Source organism: Homo sapiens, chromosome 7 (genome assembly GCF_000001405.40).
Source record: "Homo sapiens chromosome 7, GRCh38.p14 Primary Assembly".
NCBI lineage: Eukaryota > Metazoa > Chordata > Mammalia > Primates > Hominidae > Homo > Homo sapiens.
In genome coordinates, this window is record NC_000007.14 from 18,518,933 (window position 1) to 18,536,414 (window position 17,482).

The window sequence follows — 17,482 nt, forward strand, 5'->3', positions numbered from 1 at the left end:
TGGGATGTGTCGTTTGCCCCTTGAAGCTATAGTGTGGTAGAAATTGAATCTTTATGTCCAGAAGCCCAGTGTCTGTATTATTAGTTTTGCAAACATCTGTGGGCTCTAAGTGATTGATAAATACTATGTATAGAATTAACCTAAAGTTTAGTTTGAAGACCCTACTTCATAGATCAATATGAAAATGATGCCAGCAAAAAATATAGTTTAGACATTGTGCCTTGGAAAAATATTTCTATTTATATTAATGAGCTTATGTGATGTCATCACAACTCATTCTAGGAAAGATCTAGGTCAGTGTAATCCTATCTAGAGAAAGTTAAAAAAGAATAATTGTTGACTTGGTATTCTTCGTAGTCAGAAACAAATTAAATGACAAATTATGACACTATTTTTTATTACATGACAGACAAATAAAAAGTTACCATATATTAAATGCTCAAGAGGTTAATATCTATAAAGCAGAAATATAAACTGTAAATCAGTAAGAAATACCAGTAACTCAGTGGATAAATAATCAAAGGCTATGAATAAGACATTTACAAAGGAATAACCAAAAATAGGCAGTAAGTATCCGAGAAGATGATCAATCTTTGTCATGATTAACACATCAATGAGGTGCCATTTTTGTCAACATTATGGGAGTAAAAATAAATGACTAGATAATGCTTAGTGTTGATTGTGGTTTGGAGGAAAGGGGTGTTGTCATGTATTAGTGGAAGAGCACACTGTTCAAATTTTGGAGCAGCATAAATTGGCAGTACTATAAAAATTAAAAATCTACACACCCAACAATCTAGTAATTCCACTTAATTGGTATACAGAAATACTTGCACAAATTCACAATAATTTATGTACCAGGATATTTATCAGCAGTTTTATTTATAATAATGGAAAACTGAGGGCAATCTAACTATAAGTCAATACATAATCCATACTCTGAAATACAAGTCATTAAAGTTATTAAGTAATGTCTGAAGATATTAACATAGAAGGATGAGCTCAATATATTAATGAATGCAAAAAAATGTAGAATGGTATACAGTACATATAGCATAGTAAGCTCAACTAATGGATTCATGGTACTTGTTTCCATTATTTTATTGTTGTAGTAGGAGCAGAAAAGTAGTAAAAGTATTTTAACCCAAAGAAAAAAAATGCTAGCATGAAAATCACAGTTCAATAAAGTGTTTTTATATCAGTATGTTTATTAATAATTAAAAGTATTAATAAGTTTACTTCAGGAATAAGATTAATTTACGTATCTGTGAGAAACTTCGTGATATACATCAAAATATTAAAGTAATCATGCTATATTTTTCTTTTCATTCTGAAGACCACCTCTTGCAGGTAACTTTTTCTATTTTATTATACTGTCCTATTCTCCTTTCTTTACTTAGTTATATATCACAACTATAGAAGAAATAGGTTACCTGTTACTTGCAGAAATGTCACTCACTATTAATATTACTTTGCAACACAGAAAATTTTTCTGAATAATTAGAGGCAACTAAGCAAGCCTAAATGGAGTTGGTTAATTAAGTTATAAAATTCTAAGGGAGTATGATGAACCATGTAGACATATGAGCTTTCTGTTCTGCTTTTTTATCAAATGTTTCTGGCACCTGGGTTTTCTCAACTGCCCTTCTGTTGAATATGATTTTCGAATTGATGTAATGAAGAGTGGTGCTCTCTGGACAAGTAAGCTGTTCATTTGTAGAATAATAATATGTCAACACATATTTTCCAAAATAACAGTCCTACTACCGTAAATGTCTTGGAAACAGTTACCTGACACCCAGAGAGTAAGTACAACTAGCCTAGAGCCTTGGTCTGACACCAAGCAAGAGGGTTTATGAAAGAAGATAGCCCAGAAAGCTGGAGCCCTGCTCTGCTGTGTCGACATGTCTACAGCTCAGAATAAAATTGAGTTTCCTGCTTTAGCCATAGCTGGGTCTTAAAATAACCTGAAGAAATTATAGTTCTGATTACATAGAAAGTGAAGGACTTAGAACATTCTCCTAATAAAGCCATGAGAATGACACAAAGCTTAGTCATCGGCAGTCCTCCTCTAACAGGCGTTTTAGAGAGAAAAATAGAGGTTTGAAATTGGATAATTTGATTTGAAATCTTGCCTAATTATTTTAAGAATGCAGAAAACCTTTCTTTTTTGGCCAAAAAAATAATGATCTGGAATCCAATTAGGAAAGAACAGGCTTTTAAAATGTTTGATATCTCCAGTAATGGAGAAAAATCATGTCTTTAAAATTACATTCTGCTACAAACCTCATTCTTGGATGTCTTGCTTTTTGCATTTTGAATGGACAAATTTAATGTAATTTCCTTTTGGAAACATGGCATTGGAAAAGTTAGATGAGATGTTTAATTTTATGTTGGATCCTATCTACCAGGGTACAGATTTTTAAGAAGAAAAACACTTCTTGTTTCGTTTTATTTCCCAAGGGAGATATCTCACTTAACCAGATGCCTTGCGATTTGTCACAATATAGATCATTTACACAGAATTTGTGTCCAGTCGTCCATCTATTTGATTTGCACACCATGAATAAAATAAGCAAAATGGATAAAGCTTCTAATACTCCCAATTAAAAAATTGCTATCTATTTTTTCACCATTAATATGCTATCCCAAATGGCATTTATCACCATACTGTCTCACCATATTTATTCGTATGCTGTTGTTTTCTCAAGATACGTTCAATTCAGATTATGTTTGACTTGCAGCCATATCAATAATATGACTAATAATAAACAACAGTCTAGGATTTCCAGTTTTTAGAAAAACGATAATAAATTTGAAGTGAACCTATATTCAGATTTACATTTTACTTAGTATTGTTTTTAAAAAAACATTCAATTAATATTCTGAAATGATTCCATTTATTTTTACTACAAAGTTAGCTGGACCTTTACAGCATTTTAGAGTTTTACACGAGGTTTAGATTTGACTAAGCCTTAGTACGATGTCTGGAAACAGGAGGTTGAATGAACATTTGTTGAAAGGAAAAATCAGTTATTGAAATATTGTGTCTTCTGTTATCATTCTTGAGAAATGGTGGTGAGACAACTTAGTAGAAGTGACTAACAACTACATATATACAGAAGACAGGATGTAAGTCTCCAAGGTAATCAAGACCAACAGGAGGATGTTAGACCAAAATTAACACCGCGAGAAATGTGTTATGCATATATTACAGCCCACGTGTGAAAATCTGTTCATTTATAGAGAGATTGCTTCTCTGTGAATGGCTAAGTTGGCTCCACTAAGTACAAAAAAGCACTTAGGGCCATTCAGAACTAACAGCCACACACTCTGAAAGACTAAACCAAAAGATACCTGATTAGTAAGTGCTCTTTAGATGTGGGGATAGACGTTTTAACAAAGAAAGGACAGGGATGGAGAGGACTAAAGCTCCGTGCTGGGAAACTCTTAAGGAGCCAGGGCCTCCCAACAATATGCTAAGAGTGCACCCCTAGCTGTCTGGCCACATTTTCATTTCTTGTCTCAATCCTGAGGATTAATCATGAATTCCAGTCCAGTTTCTTTCCAAGCATATAACTGGACATGACAGAGTATCTTAGCTTCTACATCATAAAGCTCAATTGTTAATACTGAAAAAAAAAAAGCAGGGTGGTTTTTTTAAAAAAAACAAAAAACAAAAAACAAAAAAAAAAACATCTAATGAGCAAACAAACCAAACATGCCTCTCTTATTTCTTGTCCTGTCTATTTTTTATTTAAGCGCTGTAGGTGAGGTAATTGAAATGGAGCCCATGATATGTCTTAAGAAGGATTAATAACATTCAGTGACCATTAAGTGCTATGAATTTTCAATGTATAATGTTTTATTTGTTTCTCCCAGGAATCCTCTTTGTAGGTGGTAAAAATCATTTAACAAGTGAGGAAACTGAGCTCAAAGAGGCTGAATAACTTTAATTAACAAGCATTTATGGATGTCCACTGTATTTAGGCCAAAGTAAATGATGTAGTGTCTTGCTTCCAAGAGCACATTGTCTAGAGTGGAGGAAAAAGGCAAAGTAAACATGAGAGAATAGGTGCTAAAACTAGACTTTGCAATATTGAGAAGGCCTGGGAAGCCTTTCAAAGGAAATAAATGAAGGGGAGTTCAGTGTTTTTGAAGATGGTTGGAGGACATGATCTATAATGTTGCCATGGCTGGAGATGACACTGCAAACCAGGCAGGAGACAGATGATTAAGGACCTTTAATTCCATGCAAAGCTAGTGACTTTGAACTTCTAAAGGATTTTAAGAAGAGCTGCATGATCAGAAATACTTCTTGGAAAAGTAACTTTAGCTGCTGTATAAAGGATGGGACACTCCTTAAAATGGGTTGTGTAATTATCACATAACCTCTAACTATTAACTAGAAGTGCCCAGCAAGGAATAGGGAGAGAATAGTAAGAGTGAACTGGAAGGACCAGAAAGAGATAAATTGGGAATTCATGCAAGAGGTAAAGGGACAAATTCAGAGTCTGAGATTTCCACATTCATAACTGGGTAGATGTGTTGCCATTATTCATTCATTAATTATTTTTTGAGTGTCTCTTATGTGCCAGACATTATCTTCGTGCCAAAATAGATGACAGAGCAAAACAACCTTATATATTTGCCCTTGTGGAATGTGAAATCTACACTGTTTGCACATGTATATGTGTGTGTGTGTTGGGAGACTGATAATAAATTATAAATGTACATAATTATGTAATTGGTTAGAAATGGTGCTGTTAGATGAACAAAAGGTAGGGCAGAGAAAGGTGGTTCATGAGTTGGGAGAGAAAGGTGCACCATCACATAGAGTAGTTAGAGTAGGTAATTTTTATGAAGGTAAGATTTTCAGCAAAGGATTGGAGAAGGATTGTTAAGGTGAGGAATTACACAAGAGACAGATGAGGAGATTTAAATGTAGACCCCGCCCTCCCCCACCTCCCCCTCCCCGCTCCGCCCTGCTTCCCATTGCTTGTCTTGCTATTCACCTGGACTGGCAGAATAAGCGTGGAGCTTGGTAGGTAACATTGATTGACTATCACAAAATGAAGTGTAGAGCAACACTGAGAGTAGGAAAACCTTACACTATGAAAACATAGAGGGGAAAGAAGCACTTCTTCATCTGGCTGGGTTAGCTATTCTCAGGATAGGTACTCAAGTATGGAAGGTATATAGAGATTGGGCCTTGGCATACATTCATATCTACACAGATAGCATCTATTTACCTGTGTAGTGAATGTGAGCATGATAATTCATGTAATTAACTGCCATATTTCTTGTAGGGACTGAAAGTTAACAACTTTGTATATTAATACTCTAAGAGAACTCTAACTATAGTCTCCAACAAGAATTGCAGGGATTTTAAACTCATAATTACTCCTCAGCTGTAAATTTCAGATGTGGGTTATTGCTTTTTCTCATTTAGGGGAGTGAAATTGCTTCAGCCATCGACTTTGTGATGAGGCCTGCAGTCAGCTGTAGTTGAGAGGGGTGCTCACTCTCTGCTATTATTAGTAGTTTGTCCACGTAAAGACAATCATACAACATGTACAAAAGTTGGATTCAGGATAGCAACATATTATGTTTTGTGGCTGCAAGATATTTAAATCTAACACCAATAGCATAACGTTTAAAAACAAAAATTTTATTGAAAATAAAGTTTATGTTTGGGGCAAAGGAAGATTAAGAGGATAGGAATATATATTTTCCCATTCTTAACTCTGTCTCTCTTCTAGGGATTGAGAGATACAGAGAGATTGAGAGAGTGAATTGGAGTGAGTGGATATGAGTTATATAGCACTGCCTAATGGATTATTACCTCCCAAACCCCTGAGTTGAAGAGTAGATGGAGAGCCTGTGTAAAAGATTTTGGGTAGACGATTTTGAAATAAAACTTAGTGACATACACACACACACACACACACACACACACACACACACACATTACAGATAAGTATATATATGGAAAAATATGTATACGCAAGGAAAATACTGCTGTTCTAAATGTAGTATAATGATTTTAATATACTACCCAAGAAATCTTATGAGACTTTAAAATCATTTTAAGATTTAATAATAGTAATGGATTTAATTTTTTTAGTATGCTATTCATTACAAACTAGAAAAATCCTAATAAATCAGTCTGAATCAGTAAAGCCTCATAGATTTCCATGCAATAATGTGTTTCCTCAGTTGCTTTTACAGGAAAATAATTACTAATTATTTGATAAATTTAATTTTGGAGCAAATGTGTTGACAGCTGAAAAAACATGTAATGACTTGGATAGAGACCAGATATAACACTAGAACAAATAATATTGGCGACTTAAAAAAATAGTAACTGATGAAAAAAATCTAATTGCGTTAAATATTTTAAAGTACCTAAAAATACCAAGGATTTTGTATCTTTTGTCCTTTTCTACTTGAAATTTCTTAATCATTTTGGTGATCATACAAGATAAATCTTTAAAATTACTGTGTGAGTATTCTTAAAATAAATATAATTCTTTGGTTAAACTATACTTCTCTAAATTACATGCAGTCTTAATAAAATAATTCCTATGGATGTTAATGTTCATTCTAAACAATTTTGCTCAATCCATATTTTTGTAAACTGCATTGCTTTGCTTTTTTTAAAAGCTACTGTTTATATAGTCCTAGTTCCCAGTTTTTCATATATACTGTATTGTGTCTTTAAAATTAGAAATGCTGCTGAAACATAGAATATATTAATCCTTGATGAAATGGGACCTCTCTTTGAGTATAGGACTGTTGCCTGTACAACTAAGTCTAGTCTTTCAGAACAGAATAGGATGCTGTATATCTGTTCCCTGGAACTTAGATCCTTTGGCCTTGGTTCTACCTGACTTTGAGAAATTACAATCCCTAGTTTTTGTACATGTTTCACTTACTTTCTGCATACGATTTCTGGCTTACTTGACTCTTAAGTTCTTGCTGCCAGTCTTGCCTCTGCAGCAGTCCACATTCTCTCACCACCAAAGACATAATGTCTTGTGGCTTCCCCACTTTTATCTCTTTGCCTGCTACTCAACATTTGTTCTGCACCAGATGAAAGTCACTGTTTTAGGTACTTTTTAGGGGTACATAAATAATTATTTCCTTCAAGAAGCCAGCAATCTGCATAGGAAAGGTTCACAAAGCAATTTTGAAATAATTTAATAAGTCTGCATAATGGATTATCACATGAGCTTTGTAATTTATACTATTTTGTTGGAATTGTATAGCAATATTTATAAGTTGTTACTATTTGAGAATTCTTGTGTCTTAAATCATCTTCCTATTAGACTGATATACAAGTCTCCCCATTGACCACCCCCAATGCCAAAAAGAAGCATGCTGTGAACACTGCAAAGTAAACTATTAGAAATTAATGGTCACTACCTATAAAGATAGCAAAATACTAAAGGGGTGGTATTTTATGAGCAATGGAAACTTTTGTTGTAGATATTTCAACTGACACTGTGCCTTTATTACTACTTTATACCTACATCTGAAGATCCAGACTCTAGTAGTTGTAATACAATAGATGCAAACAGTGGGAACATCTAGTTCTTGTCAATGTGTCACCAAAACATATTATCAAAGCTAATCTCATAAGGGTGTCAGAGGAAATTAAAGTTGCCTTTGGCTGCATGTTATAAGAACTGACTGAAATTTTAAACTACCTCAGTAGCTGACTATATACAGCAGCAGGAAGCCTTCAATTAACTGCACCAGTTCTATTTGTAGTACAAAGGATCTATGGCTTAGGATAGCCTACATAACTTAAAAAGAAAAAAACTCAACTAGATCTTAACAGTATCCTGAAGTACAGCCTGAGAGAAAAGGATAGATAGGGTCAGATAGGAGCATGGAGCATAGTAACTAATTCAAAGACAAGGGGGTCTTAGGTTGAGCTTTAAAAAATGTTCTGTCTAGTCAATAAGAAATTCAGAGACAATGTCTTTGAAAGAAAGGTAAGCCAGAATGAAGAGTAGCAGTCTACATTCTAGAGATTATAACAATAAAAGTCAGCAATATTAAATGATTTAGTATAGAAAAAGGTGAGCTTTTACAAGAATAATGGATAGAAAAGAGTTCTTGAGGTTATTAAGTAGAAATTCACATGGATTTAATAATGAAAGATCATTTCCACATGATCCTCAGGCCCTGTTTCTTGGACTGTAATTAAGAAGAAAAATGGAAGAACACTAAGAGAAAGGACTAGGAAGTGGTAGTGGCTCTAATGTTCTTCTTTTACCTTTTGAAATGCTACCTGATACTAATTTTTGAGAAAAATTTGTTGGAGAGTGAAACTTGCATGTCTTTTGGATAATTTTATTTAAAGGTGAATGATCTCAATTTTACCTTCTTTGTTTTTCACAGTTGCCTCCCTCTCCTTTTGCTATATGGACTATATGTATCTAAGTAAGTTAATGTTGGAAAAAAGTTTAAACATTGAGAAAATTACTGAGGGTGTCTGGGTAATATCTCAGAATTAGATTTGAAAGTCACTGAACGATATGTTGTGGCTCAATGAGGAAGTTGTTAGATTTGTGATAATACCGAAAAAAATCCCTCTTTTGGTTTTATCTAAATTAGCATTCACAATACAAAAGTCATTCTAAGAATTATAATTAGGAGTCTGACATTTTACACAGAATTTGGTAGTTATTTTTGGTAAATAATTTTTACAGAGGATGTTTGATCAAATTAAAATGTAAAAATTTTAAGGATCAACCTATGATTTTCTTGTATTAATATATTCACGTGGGATCTAAATGCTGAAAAATTGTATTATTATTTTTTCTAGTTTCAAATCTACCAGAATGTTTATCTATAACAACTTCTATACAGAAGTTGTTTAAAGTTCATGGAAACTATCTTCTGTAGGAGACAGTTTACAGTTTACAGTTCTGTAAAATGAATCATAAAATCCAGAATTTTGCTCCACTTGTCCCATTACTGATCCATAAAAACTGGATTTAATTTCTACTGTAGTTATTTTTAAAAAATACACATTTGGTACCTTAAGAATGAAATAATTATAGGTCGGGCATGGTGGTTCACTTCTGTAATCCCAGCAATTTGGGAGGGCGAGGCAGTAGGATCACTTGAACTCAAGTTCAAGTGGAGTTTGAGACCAGGCTGAGCAATAAAGCAAGACTCAGTCTCTACGAAAATAAAAATAAAAATAAAAGTAAAAAAGTAAGCCAGGTGTGGTGGCACATGGGAAGCTGAGGTGGGAGGATTGGGGAGGTCGAGGGTGCTTCTGTAGAAGTTTTCCATGAAGTATTTTTTTTTTTTTAAATTAGGTCGAATTAATTTGCTTATTTTTCAGAAAATAGATTTTGGAGCTGGTAAGAAGAAATGAGAAATACTAATATAGCATATTAGAACAAATAACATTTTATATAAGTGAAAACAGAAAAAAATTAGGTAAAATGATATATTTATAAGCCCAGTGAAGGAAATGGAATGAATTATCTTCTGGGTTTTCAGACCAAATGGACTGTCAGATCCTTTAGTTAAAAATTTGAAATATCACCTTTAAAATTAAGGTTTAGTCTTCTCTTCTTTGCCACTTTACTTACTTTTCAGGGCATTAAAAATTACTTAGCAAACTCATAATTATGTACCAGAATAATTCCCTTTAATAGGAATTTTATTCTAGGAAATCATTTCTAAAAGTGATAAAATTTTACCAATTTACAAATACTTTTGTACTAACAGTATTAATAACAATGAATTTTATAGTAGTGATAGATACATAAGGAGACAGGAATCGATGAGCATGGGACTTATTATGGAATATAGTTGACCATGTTTCAACATATGAAGTATTATTAGAAAGTGATACCTCTCTACCTCCACTCTTCTTTCTAACTTTAACAATTTCCTGCCCAGTCTAGGGTGTGCATATTTGGAATTATACCTATTTACAAAGGAACCACATAAGTAAAAAACATGAGATAAAATGGCTATTTTAGCCATCAGAGTTTTTCTGGGGTATTTGTATTACATTTCTGTTTTCTTGCTTGATGTCTTTATCCTTCTGTCATGTGAATCTCTTTATTCCCAAACATTTGTCTGGGTATTAAACCTTTTTTCTTATATGACTCAATGTTAAGAGAGCCTCAAACAGCTAAACAAAATAACAATGAGTGGAAAATTTCTGTAGCCAAGAAGAAAATTAAAAATAGGAGACAGAAAATAACCAGAGAAGAAAAAAAAAATCTTTTGAAAAATGGTCAAATGTCATCCAGATAACCTTCCAAGGAAAGCTGCCTCTCATCTCCTTCCCCCTTCTTTTCCTTCCTCATCTTCCTAAGGTTGTCAGTTGGCATAGGACATAAAAGTAAATAAAAAGATGGGCATAAAAGCAAATCAAAAGTGGTAGGAAAGCAGCCAATAAAAATGGGGAGGTATTGTCCCAGAATAAGGACAGAGATTTTACTTTAGCCAATTCCAAGTTAAGTTTTCATCCAACACTTAGTTTGGTATTTACATGAATGCTTGTATAGATTTCCAAAGTAGATGCCAAAGTAGATTGAGGAAGTTAGTGGATTAGTCCCTAGGGTTTGTTTGTTAAAAGAATTTGAGAAGCTTCCCATAATAACTTTAACATAACAGAAAAGAAAACTGATAATTGTGTGTATTTCGTGTATTTATGGTTATATACATTATGTAGTTTATTTCATCCATAGACTTGTTTTTTCTCAATCATTTCTTTAGTTGTTTTAGAATTAAGAAAATGCATTCATACATTGTTGAGGAAAGAGTCTTGAACTCATTGGATTCACCAATGTTTAAAATCTTTATTGCACCAATTTTTTTAAATCTTTATTGGTTTTCATTGATCTGATGTGGTTCATGATTTTCCATGACATTCACTCTTTTAAAATGAATCATAAAATCCAGCATTTTGCTCTGCTTGTCCCATTACTTATCCATAAAAACTAGATTTAATTTCTACTGTAATTATTTTTTTAAAATACACATTTAGTGCTTTAAGAATGGAATAATTACAGGTCGGGCACGGTGGTTCACTTCCGTAATCCCAGCAATTTGGGGGGGTGTGGCAGGAGGATCACTTGAACCCAAGTTCAAGTGGAGTTTGAGACCAGGCTGGGCAACAAAGCAAGATCCAGTCTCTACGTAAATAGAAATAAAAATAAAAAAAATAAGCCAGGCATGGTGGCACATGGGAGGCTGAGGTGGAAGGATTGGGGAGGTTGAGGCTGTAGTGAACCATGATCATGCCACTCCTGTTCTGCCTGGGCAACAGAGTGAGATCCTGTCTTAAAACAAAACAAAAAAGAATGGAACAATTATAAAATAATGTATGTTCTATCTGAAAACAATGTCGTTAACACTTTATGGAAGCTGTCCCCAGAGTTGAGGGACACTTGCTGATGTGAAGTTAGCCAACACATGACTGCTTCAGAATAGAAACAATGTTCAATGGTGTTGAACAAAAAAAAAATGCACCCTTGCTAAAGCTACTTCTAATGCTGTGTAGCTCTAACAAATGATTTATACTGGTTTTCCATTTAATGAGCTGGCAGGGAGGATTTTTAGCTACTGCAAAATCTTCTAGAAAAAAAAGAAACTTGTTGAGAAGTCTCTGAAAGGGTGTGAAGTTTCTTATTTTACATTCATTAACTTTTTATTTTATTCAAAGTTCAGAAATAGGCTATTGGTCATGCATTGTGAACTCACCATCTGGCTCCATCCAGCTTCCTGAGGGATTTCCCCCAGTGTCACAGTCTTCTGATGTACTTCATGTTTGTAAAAGTTTTGAATGCTTAATTATATATATAAAATATATATTTATATATGTATGTGTATATGTATATATAAATACATATATGTAACACTTATAAAAGTGTGAGAATTTAAATATAGATACATAGTTAAAAAAATCAATCGGTATATAAAGGCTTACAGTGAAAAGAAATTATCCTCTATTTCACTTCAGCTTCAGCCCGACTCGTTTCAGTACTCCAGCCCTGCCTCCCATATTAGCCATTTTAACAATTTTTTACTCGTATGCTTCTAGTGCAACCTCTCTGTCTTTAAATAATATTCTTGCTTTATTCACTTTCAGCATTGTCTATTGACTTAATGCATGGTAATAAGAATAACTCACCAATTTTTCTCTTTTCTCCCCTGCTTCAAACTATACTTACTTTATTCTTAGTTCATTCATTTATTATAATAATTATTATTAATTAGTGTTCAGAAACCTCAGGAAGAATAATTCTCTTAACTGGTTTCTAAGTTGTTGAGATATGTGTGGATCTGAATGATTTGGAAAGTAAGTAAGTGGACTAGCAAACTGTAAGCATCATATAAATATGCTTTATTAAGGAATGTGGTTACACTCAAATTACTCTTTTACTTAAGAAAATAAGAATTTAAACCACTTGACATAAACTGCAGGAAATTGTTGAATGATTTATCTTAATTTAATTTCTTTAAATTCTTTCCTGTGATGTGCTAATATGTATGTAATTAAGAACCAAATGAGAAATGTACTCTTGAAAAAAACTTTAAGTTTTGAAAACCTTATAAAAATATAAAAAGTCATTTTTCCCCTATGATTAAAGAAAATCAAGTTAATGCATGACCTATATGTTGCTCCTTGACAGTCTTTAATAGACAAAATACTGGATTTCCTATAAATAAGAAAATGGAAAGGAAAAAATCCTCTGTTCCTTTCATACTTTTACCCCCTAACTCTTTAACTATACAATGTAGTTCGGCCTCTAATGTGCTTGTGTAAGCAAAACTCAATACCCTTAACCTCCGAGAACCACACTTCTACTGTTGGAGTTCTATTGAACTCCATTTCAATGCAAACAAGTAAAGGAAATGTTTAAAAAGTTGACGTGTGATGAGAAATGAACTCTTTTATGTTTTGTCAAAATTTGGTGCTTCTGGAAAAAAATTGTCAAATACATTTTTTGGTCCAAAGCTTTCATTTTATATTTAAAGAATTAAAAGGCTGGGCACAGTGGCTCAAGCCTGTAATCCCAGCACTTTGGGAGGCCGAGGCAGGTGGATTACCTGAGGTCAGGAGTTTGAGACCAGACTGGCCAACATGGTGAAACCCTGTCTCTACTAAAAATACAAAATATTATCTGGGCATGGTGGTGCACACCTGTAGTCCCAGCTACTTGGGAGGCTGAGGCAGGAGAATTGCTTGAACCTGGGAGGTGGAGGTTGCAGTGAGCCCAGATCACACCACTGCAGTCCAGCCTGTGAGACGCCATCTCAGAACAACAACAACAACAAAAAACCAAAACAAACAAACAAAAAACCACAAAGAATTAAAATACTTCCATACTAAGGCATCACATTTTGGCCATCCAGGAACACTGTTGCCTACAGTAAGATTATGAGCTCTCCTAGAGGTATGATTCTAAAGCAAGATTAATGCATTTGATTATTTCTGGATACAGGGATGGGAAGAGAAGTGGTCTAATTATTCATTTAAAATATACCAATTCCAAAAATTAATTTGTTCTTTCTTGTTTAATTATATGATTTTCTTAGAACATCATAAACTTCTTGTTTATGCCTCTTCTCTCTACTCTGAATATTGACTATCGTGAGAGCTGTTCAGGCATTAAACACCGATTTGAATTTTGGGTTCTCTATGAGTGAACAAGTAAAATTATCAAAACGTTATATATTGATCCTATACCGTTTTTGTTTTAAATCAAAGTAAGTCATGCATTTAGTTTAAAAAGGAAAAGGTCTTTTAATGAAAATAGCAGTTCTCTACTCTGCCTCTCCCCAATCCTCCTTTTCACTCCACAGCAGCAACTACCTTCAACAGTTCTGGCTTTCTTCTGTTTTTTTTTTTAACTTTAATATTTCTAAATAACATATCCGTTTAGAAAATTATTTGTTTATGCATTTTAAGCACTATGCATTGTTTTCTCAGCCTGTGAGATGAGGAGGTTCCCCTGTACCCATATGTGTTCACCCACAGGAGTGTGCTTGTGTGTGTGCACACACACAAATATGTACACTTTTCTTCTCTACTCTTCCCAGTAGTTGAATCAAATCAATAGTATTTATATGACTAGTCAAATGTTTACTGCTGAACCAAGTCATGTATTATAACCATGTCAATTTTCAAGTTCAACTTAGGCTTTTTTCTGAAGTTCATTGCAAAATCGTACCCTCTATTTATCTGGTTTTGTATACTTGCATGTTTCTACCATGTGCTTAAAAATAAATATTTTCCACACCTGCAGCACTTCAACTCTATTTTCTCCGGGAGTTTCCAGCCTTCTTTCTCTATTGGGAACTAATTGCTTTAGGCTCCCCACTCATCCTTGGTCTGTTCCTTTGCTGTTCTTTTGCGTAATCCTCTCTTTCTTGGATTCTTGTAGCTTCTTTGTCGGTTTTATTTTTGTTTTAATTTTCAGAAGAATATTTTACAATAGCTTATATTTGTTGAATTTTTACATACCTGAAAATGTCATTTTTCTATCTTTTTCAATGATAGATTTGTATGACTGGGCATAGAACCCTTGTGGAAAATTATTGTGAGTTCTAGTCCCAATTTGACTCTCTTTCCTTTGCATTTGGCTTCCCCAACACATTTGGAAGCTTTTTAGAATCTTCTCTTTATCTCTGTGGTTCTAAAATTGTATAACAGTGTATCTTACCTTATTCATTTTCTCGGTTATTCTATGGCCTCTTTCACCTTGGAGGCTTATGTTTTCAGTATTTAGATACTCACTCGAATTATTTTCCTTTCTTTAATATAACTTCTTCTCCTTTGTGTTCTCTACTCTTATTTTTCTGCAGTTCTTACTAGTTCAGTGTTAGACCTTCTGATTAGAGTCTAATTGTATTTTCTTTCAGGTAGATTTAGTTCACTTTGTCTTCAAGAACATTTAGTGACATTTTAATTTAAGTTACTGAGTTTTTAATTTCAAAGAGTTTAAAATTTTTTTTTAAGTTTTTCATCAAAGTGCACCGTTCTTTATTTTAATGTAGTAGGTAACTTCCTCTATTCGATAGAGGCTATTAATTATAGTTAACCACATTTTAATTTTTCTGCGTGCACTTTATACTTTTTCTCTGCTCTCCTCCTTTCATGTTTGTTTTGATCTCTCCTGCGTGTTGGGAGCCTTCATATTTAAAATGAGCATTTGATCTTTGGAAGCTCATCATTTGTGTGGCAATTGTAGCATAGAGGGGTTCTGGTATAGACGGCATGGACATTTAGCAGCCCTTTCAGTGGGTACATGTGTGTTTGTGTGTATGTGGTTAGAAAGAATCCTTGCATGTGCAGGCGTGATGGCTCACAGCTGTAATGCTAGCACTTTGGGAGGCTGAGGCAGGAGGGCTGTTTGAGACCAGCCTGGACAACACGGTGTGACCCTGTTTCTACAAAACAACAACAACAACAAATTAGCCAGGCATGGCAGTGCATGCCTGTAGTTCCTGCTACTTTGGAGGCTGAGGCAGGAGGATTACTTGAGCCTTAGAGGTCAAGGCTGAAGTGAGCTATGATTGTGCCACTGCACTTCAGCTTGGGTAACAGAATAAGACCTTGTCTAAAAAAAAATTTAGAGAGAGAGAGAAAAAGAGAGAATCCTTGCGTACTAGTGTCTGCATTTCTCACCTTATGAGTCGTTAGGTGTCTCAAGGAAAGAATTTTCCCAGCTTCTACTTGAAGGCAACGTGCTTGTTTGCCAGAGCTGGGGAAGTAGATGGGTGAGTGTGCTTTGTGGAACTGCACTCGATCCACCACTGTGCAGCTCTTGTGTCCCACGTTTCTGCTAGAGCTGTGGCCTCACCTCAGTTTTGTTTGTCCAGGGAATAACTCTTTATTCTTCTAGTGAAAAGAAGGGTAGTAAATACAGAGAGTGGCAGGGACTTAGAGAGGAGGAGAAATGTCTTGGCTGTGAGGGTATGGGCATGGTGATTTAAGGATGCTACAATCAGACCTTAAACCAGTCCCTGCGCTTTTGACCTTGCGCTTGACCACTCGTCTTCCTCTGTGCCTTTCTGCAAGTTCTGAACCTCTTAGGGATTCTCTGGCATGAGGCTGCTTGTTGCTCACTCACTGCAGTTACTTCGGGTTGTGCTTTCTCCTTTCAGTGGGGCTGTTAATCACTATCCAACTCACTTTCCATCTTCAGCAATTCACTGAACTCTCCTGCTCATTCTTGTCATCTCTTCCCTCTTCTTTTTTTGCTGTAGGTTTATAGCATTTTAATTCTTTTACTGTCATTTTATGGCATTTCTGAAGGGAGTAGAAATAAATGCATTTGGTCAATCCATCATTTTTATTCAGAAGTCATACAATTTTTAAATCACCCCCAAATTGATATAATAAATATTATTGTTGATGTTCTTATTATTATTTATAATATGAAATATTTTAAGTTCATAATACTGGAGCCATTCTGAGAAAGTTCCTAAAATAGACTACTGCGGAAGCCCATTATTGCCATGGACCTGATATATTTACATCTATAATTTTAATGAGGATGTCATAAGATTAAAATTTGTGATGGACATTTGTGATCTCTCTCAATGATGATCTCTATTATATCTACATACATTCATTTCTTTATTAATAGCTCATCCATGCAGAACTCAATTATCCAACAATCTCATTTTATTGATAACAAATGCTAGAAAAAGAAAGTATCAGAAATGGCTTTGAAACAACGTTTGCATTGAATCTACAAACATTTTTCTGGGGATAGCCCATAAAGGCATTAAGCAAAAAAAAAAAAAAAAAAAAAAAAAAAAATTTACTTCTATTTCATAACCAAGTACAACAGCTTTTGAAATTTACATTTCAAATACACAGAACTTAGCAAACAAAACAGAAGAAAATAAGAGGGAGCCTGTGAACAGACAAGGAATGATCAATGAAACTCTACAATAAAGAGGAAGAGAGGGGAACCAGATGGTAGCCAAAGCAACTCACATTCCTATTAGGAGCTTGTAGGAGAAGCTGTAGATGCCCCACTCAAACCTCCCAGGGCTCTGTCATTTTTATGTTCCCCGGCCTGGCTCTTGTCTGCATAAACCTCTCTTTGCCTCAGAGCTTTCTTTTGTAGTTCAAGCCTACACTGCAACCCAGGTGCATGACAGGTTAAAAGTGCCAGAGAATTAATGCCACCAGGAAGCAGCCTGCAATGAATGACTGGCAGAATTGATGTGTAAATATCCCAGCTTCCTTGCCCCTTGGTTAAGTCTAAAGTATGTGTTGTGCACTGGTGACCAGAGGTCCCTGGAAGGATGAAGCTCCAGTTGTCACTGTGGTAATCTGCCTGCTTTCTTGGCTGCCTTCCTTTACTGTCTCATTTCTCTACTCTACTATAAGCATGATGTTTTCCCGAATCAGCTCCCACCTAAACCACAAATTTGAACTAAAATTTGTAACTTAATTTGGAAGAGCCCAAAATAA

The 17,482-nt window shown here is 34.6% G+C and overlaps 1 protein-coding gene across 40 annotated transcripts in view, besides 1 other annotated feature; it reads left to right on the forward strand.

Moving 5' to 3' along the window:
- Positions 1-17,482, forward strand: part of HDAC9 (histone deacetylase 9) — a 915,592-nt gene that overhangs the window by 432,108 nt on the left and 466,002 nt on the right. The gene's annotated exons all lie outside the window — the stretch shown is intronic.
- Positions 3,235-3,314: a silencer, noted in NCBI's record as "silent region_17987". NCBI's record gives its function as "represses an Ori minimal core promoter by ATAC-STARR-seq in GM12878 lymphoblastoid cells {active_cell/tissue: GM12878}" and the evidence as "EXISTENCE:reporter gene assay evidence [ECO:0000049][PMID:35858748]".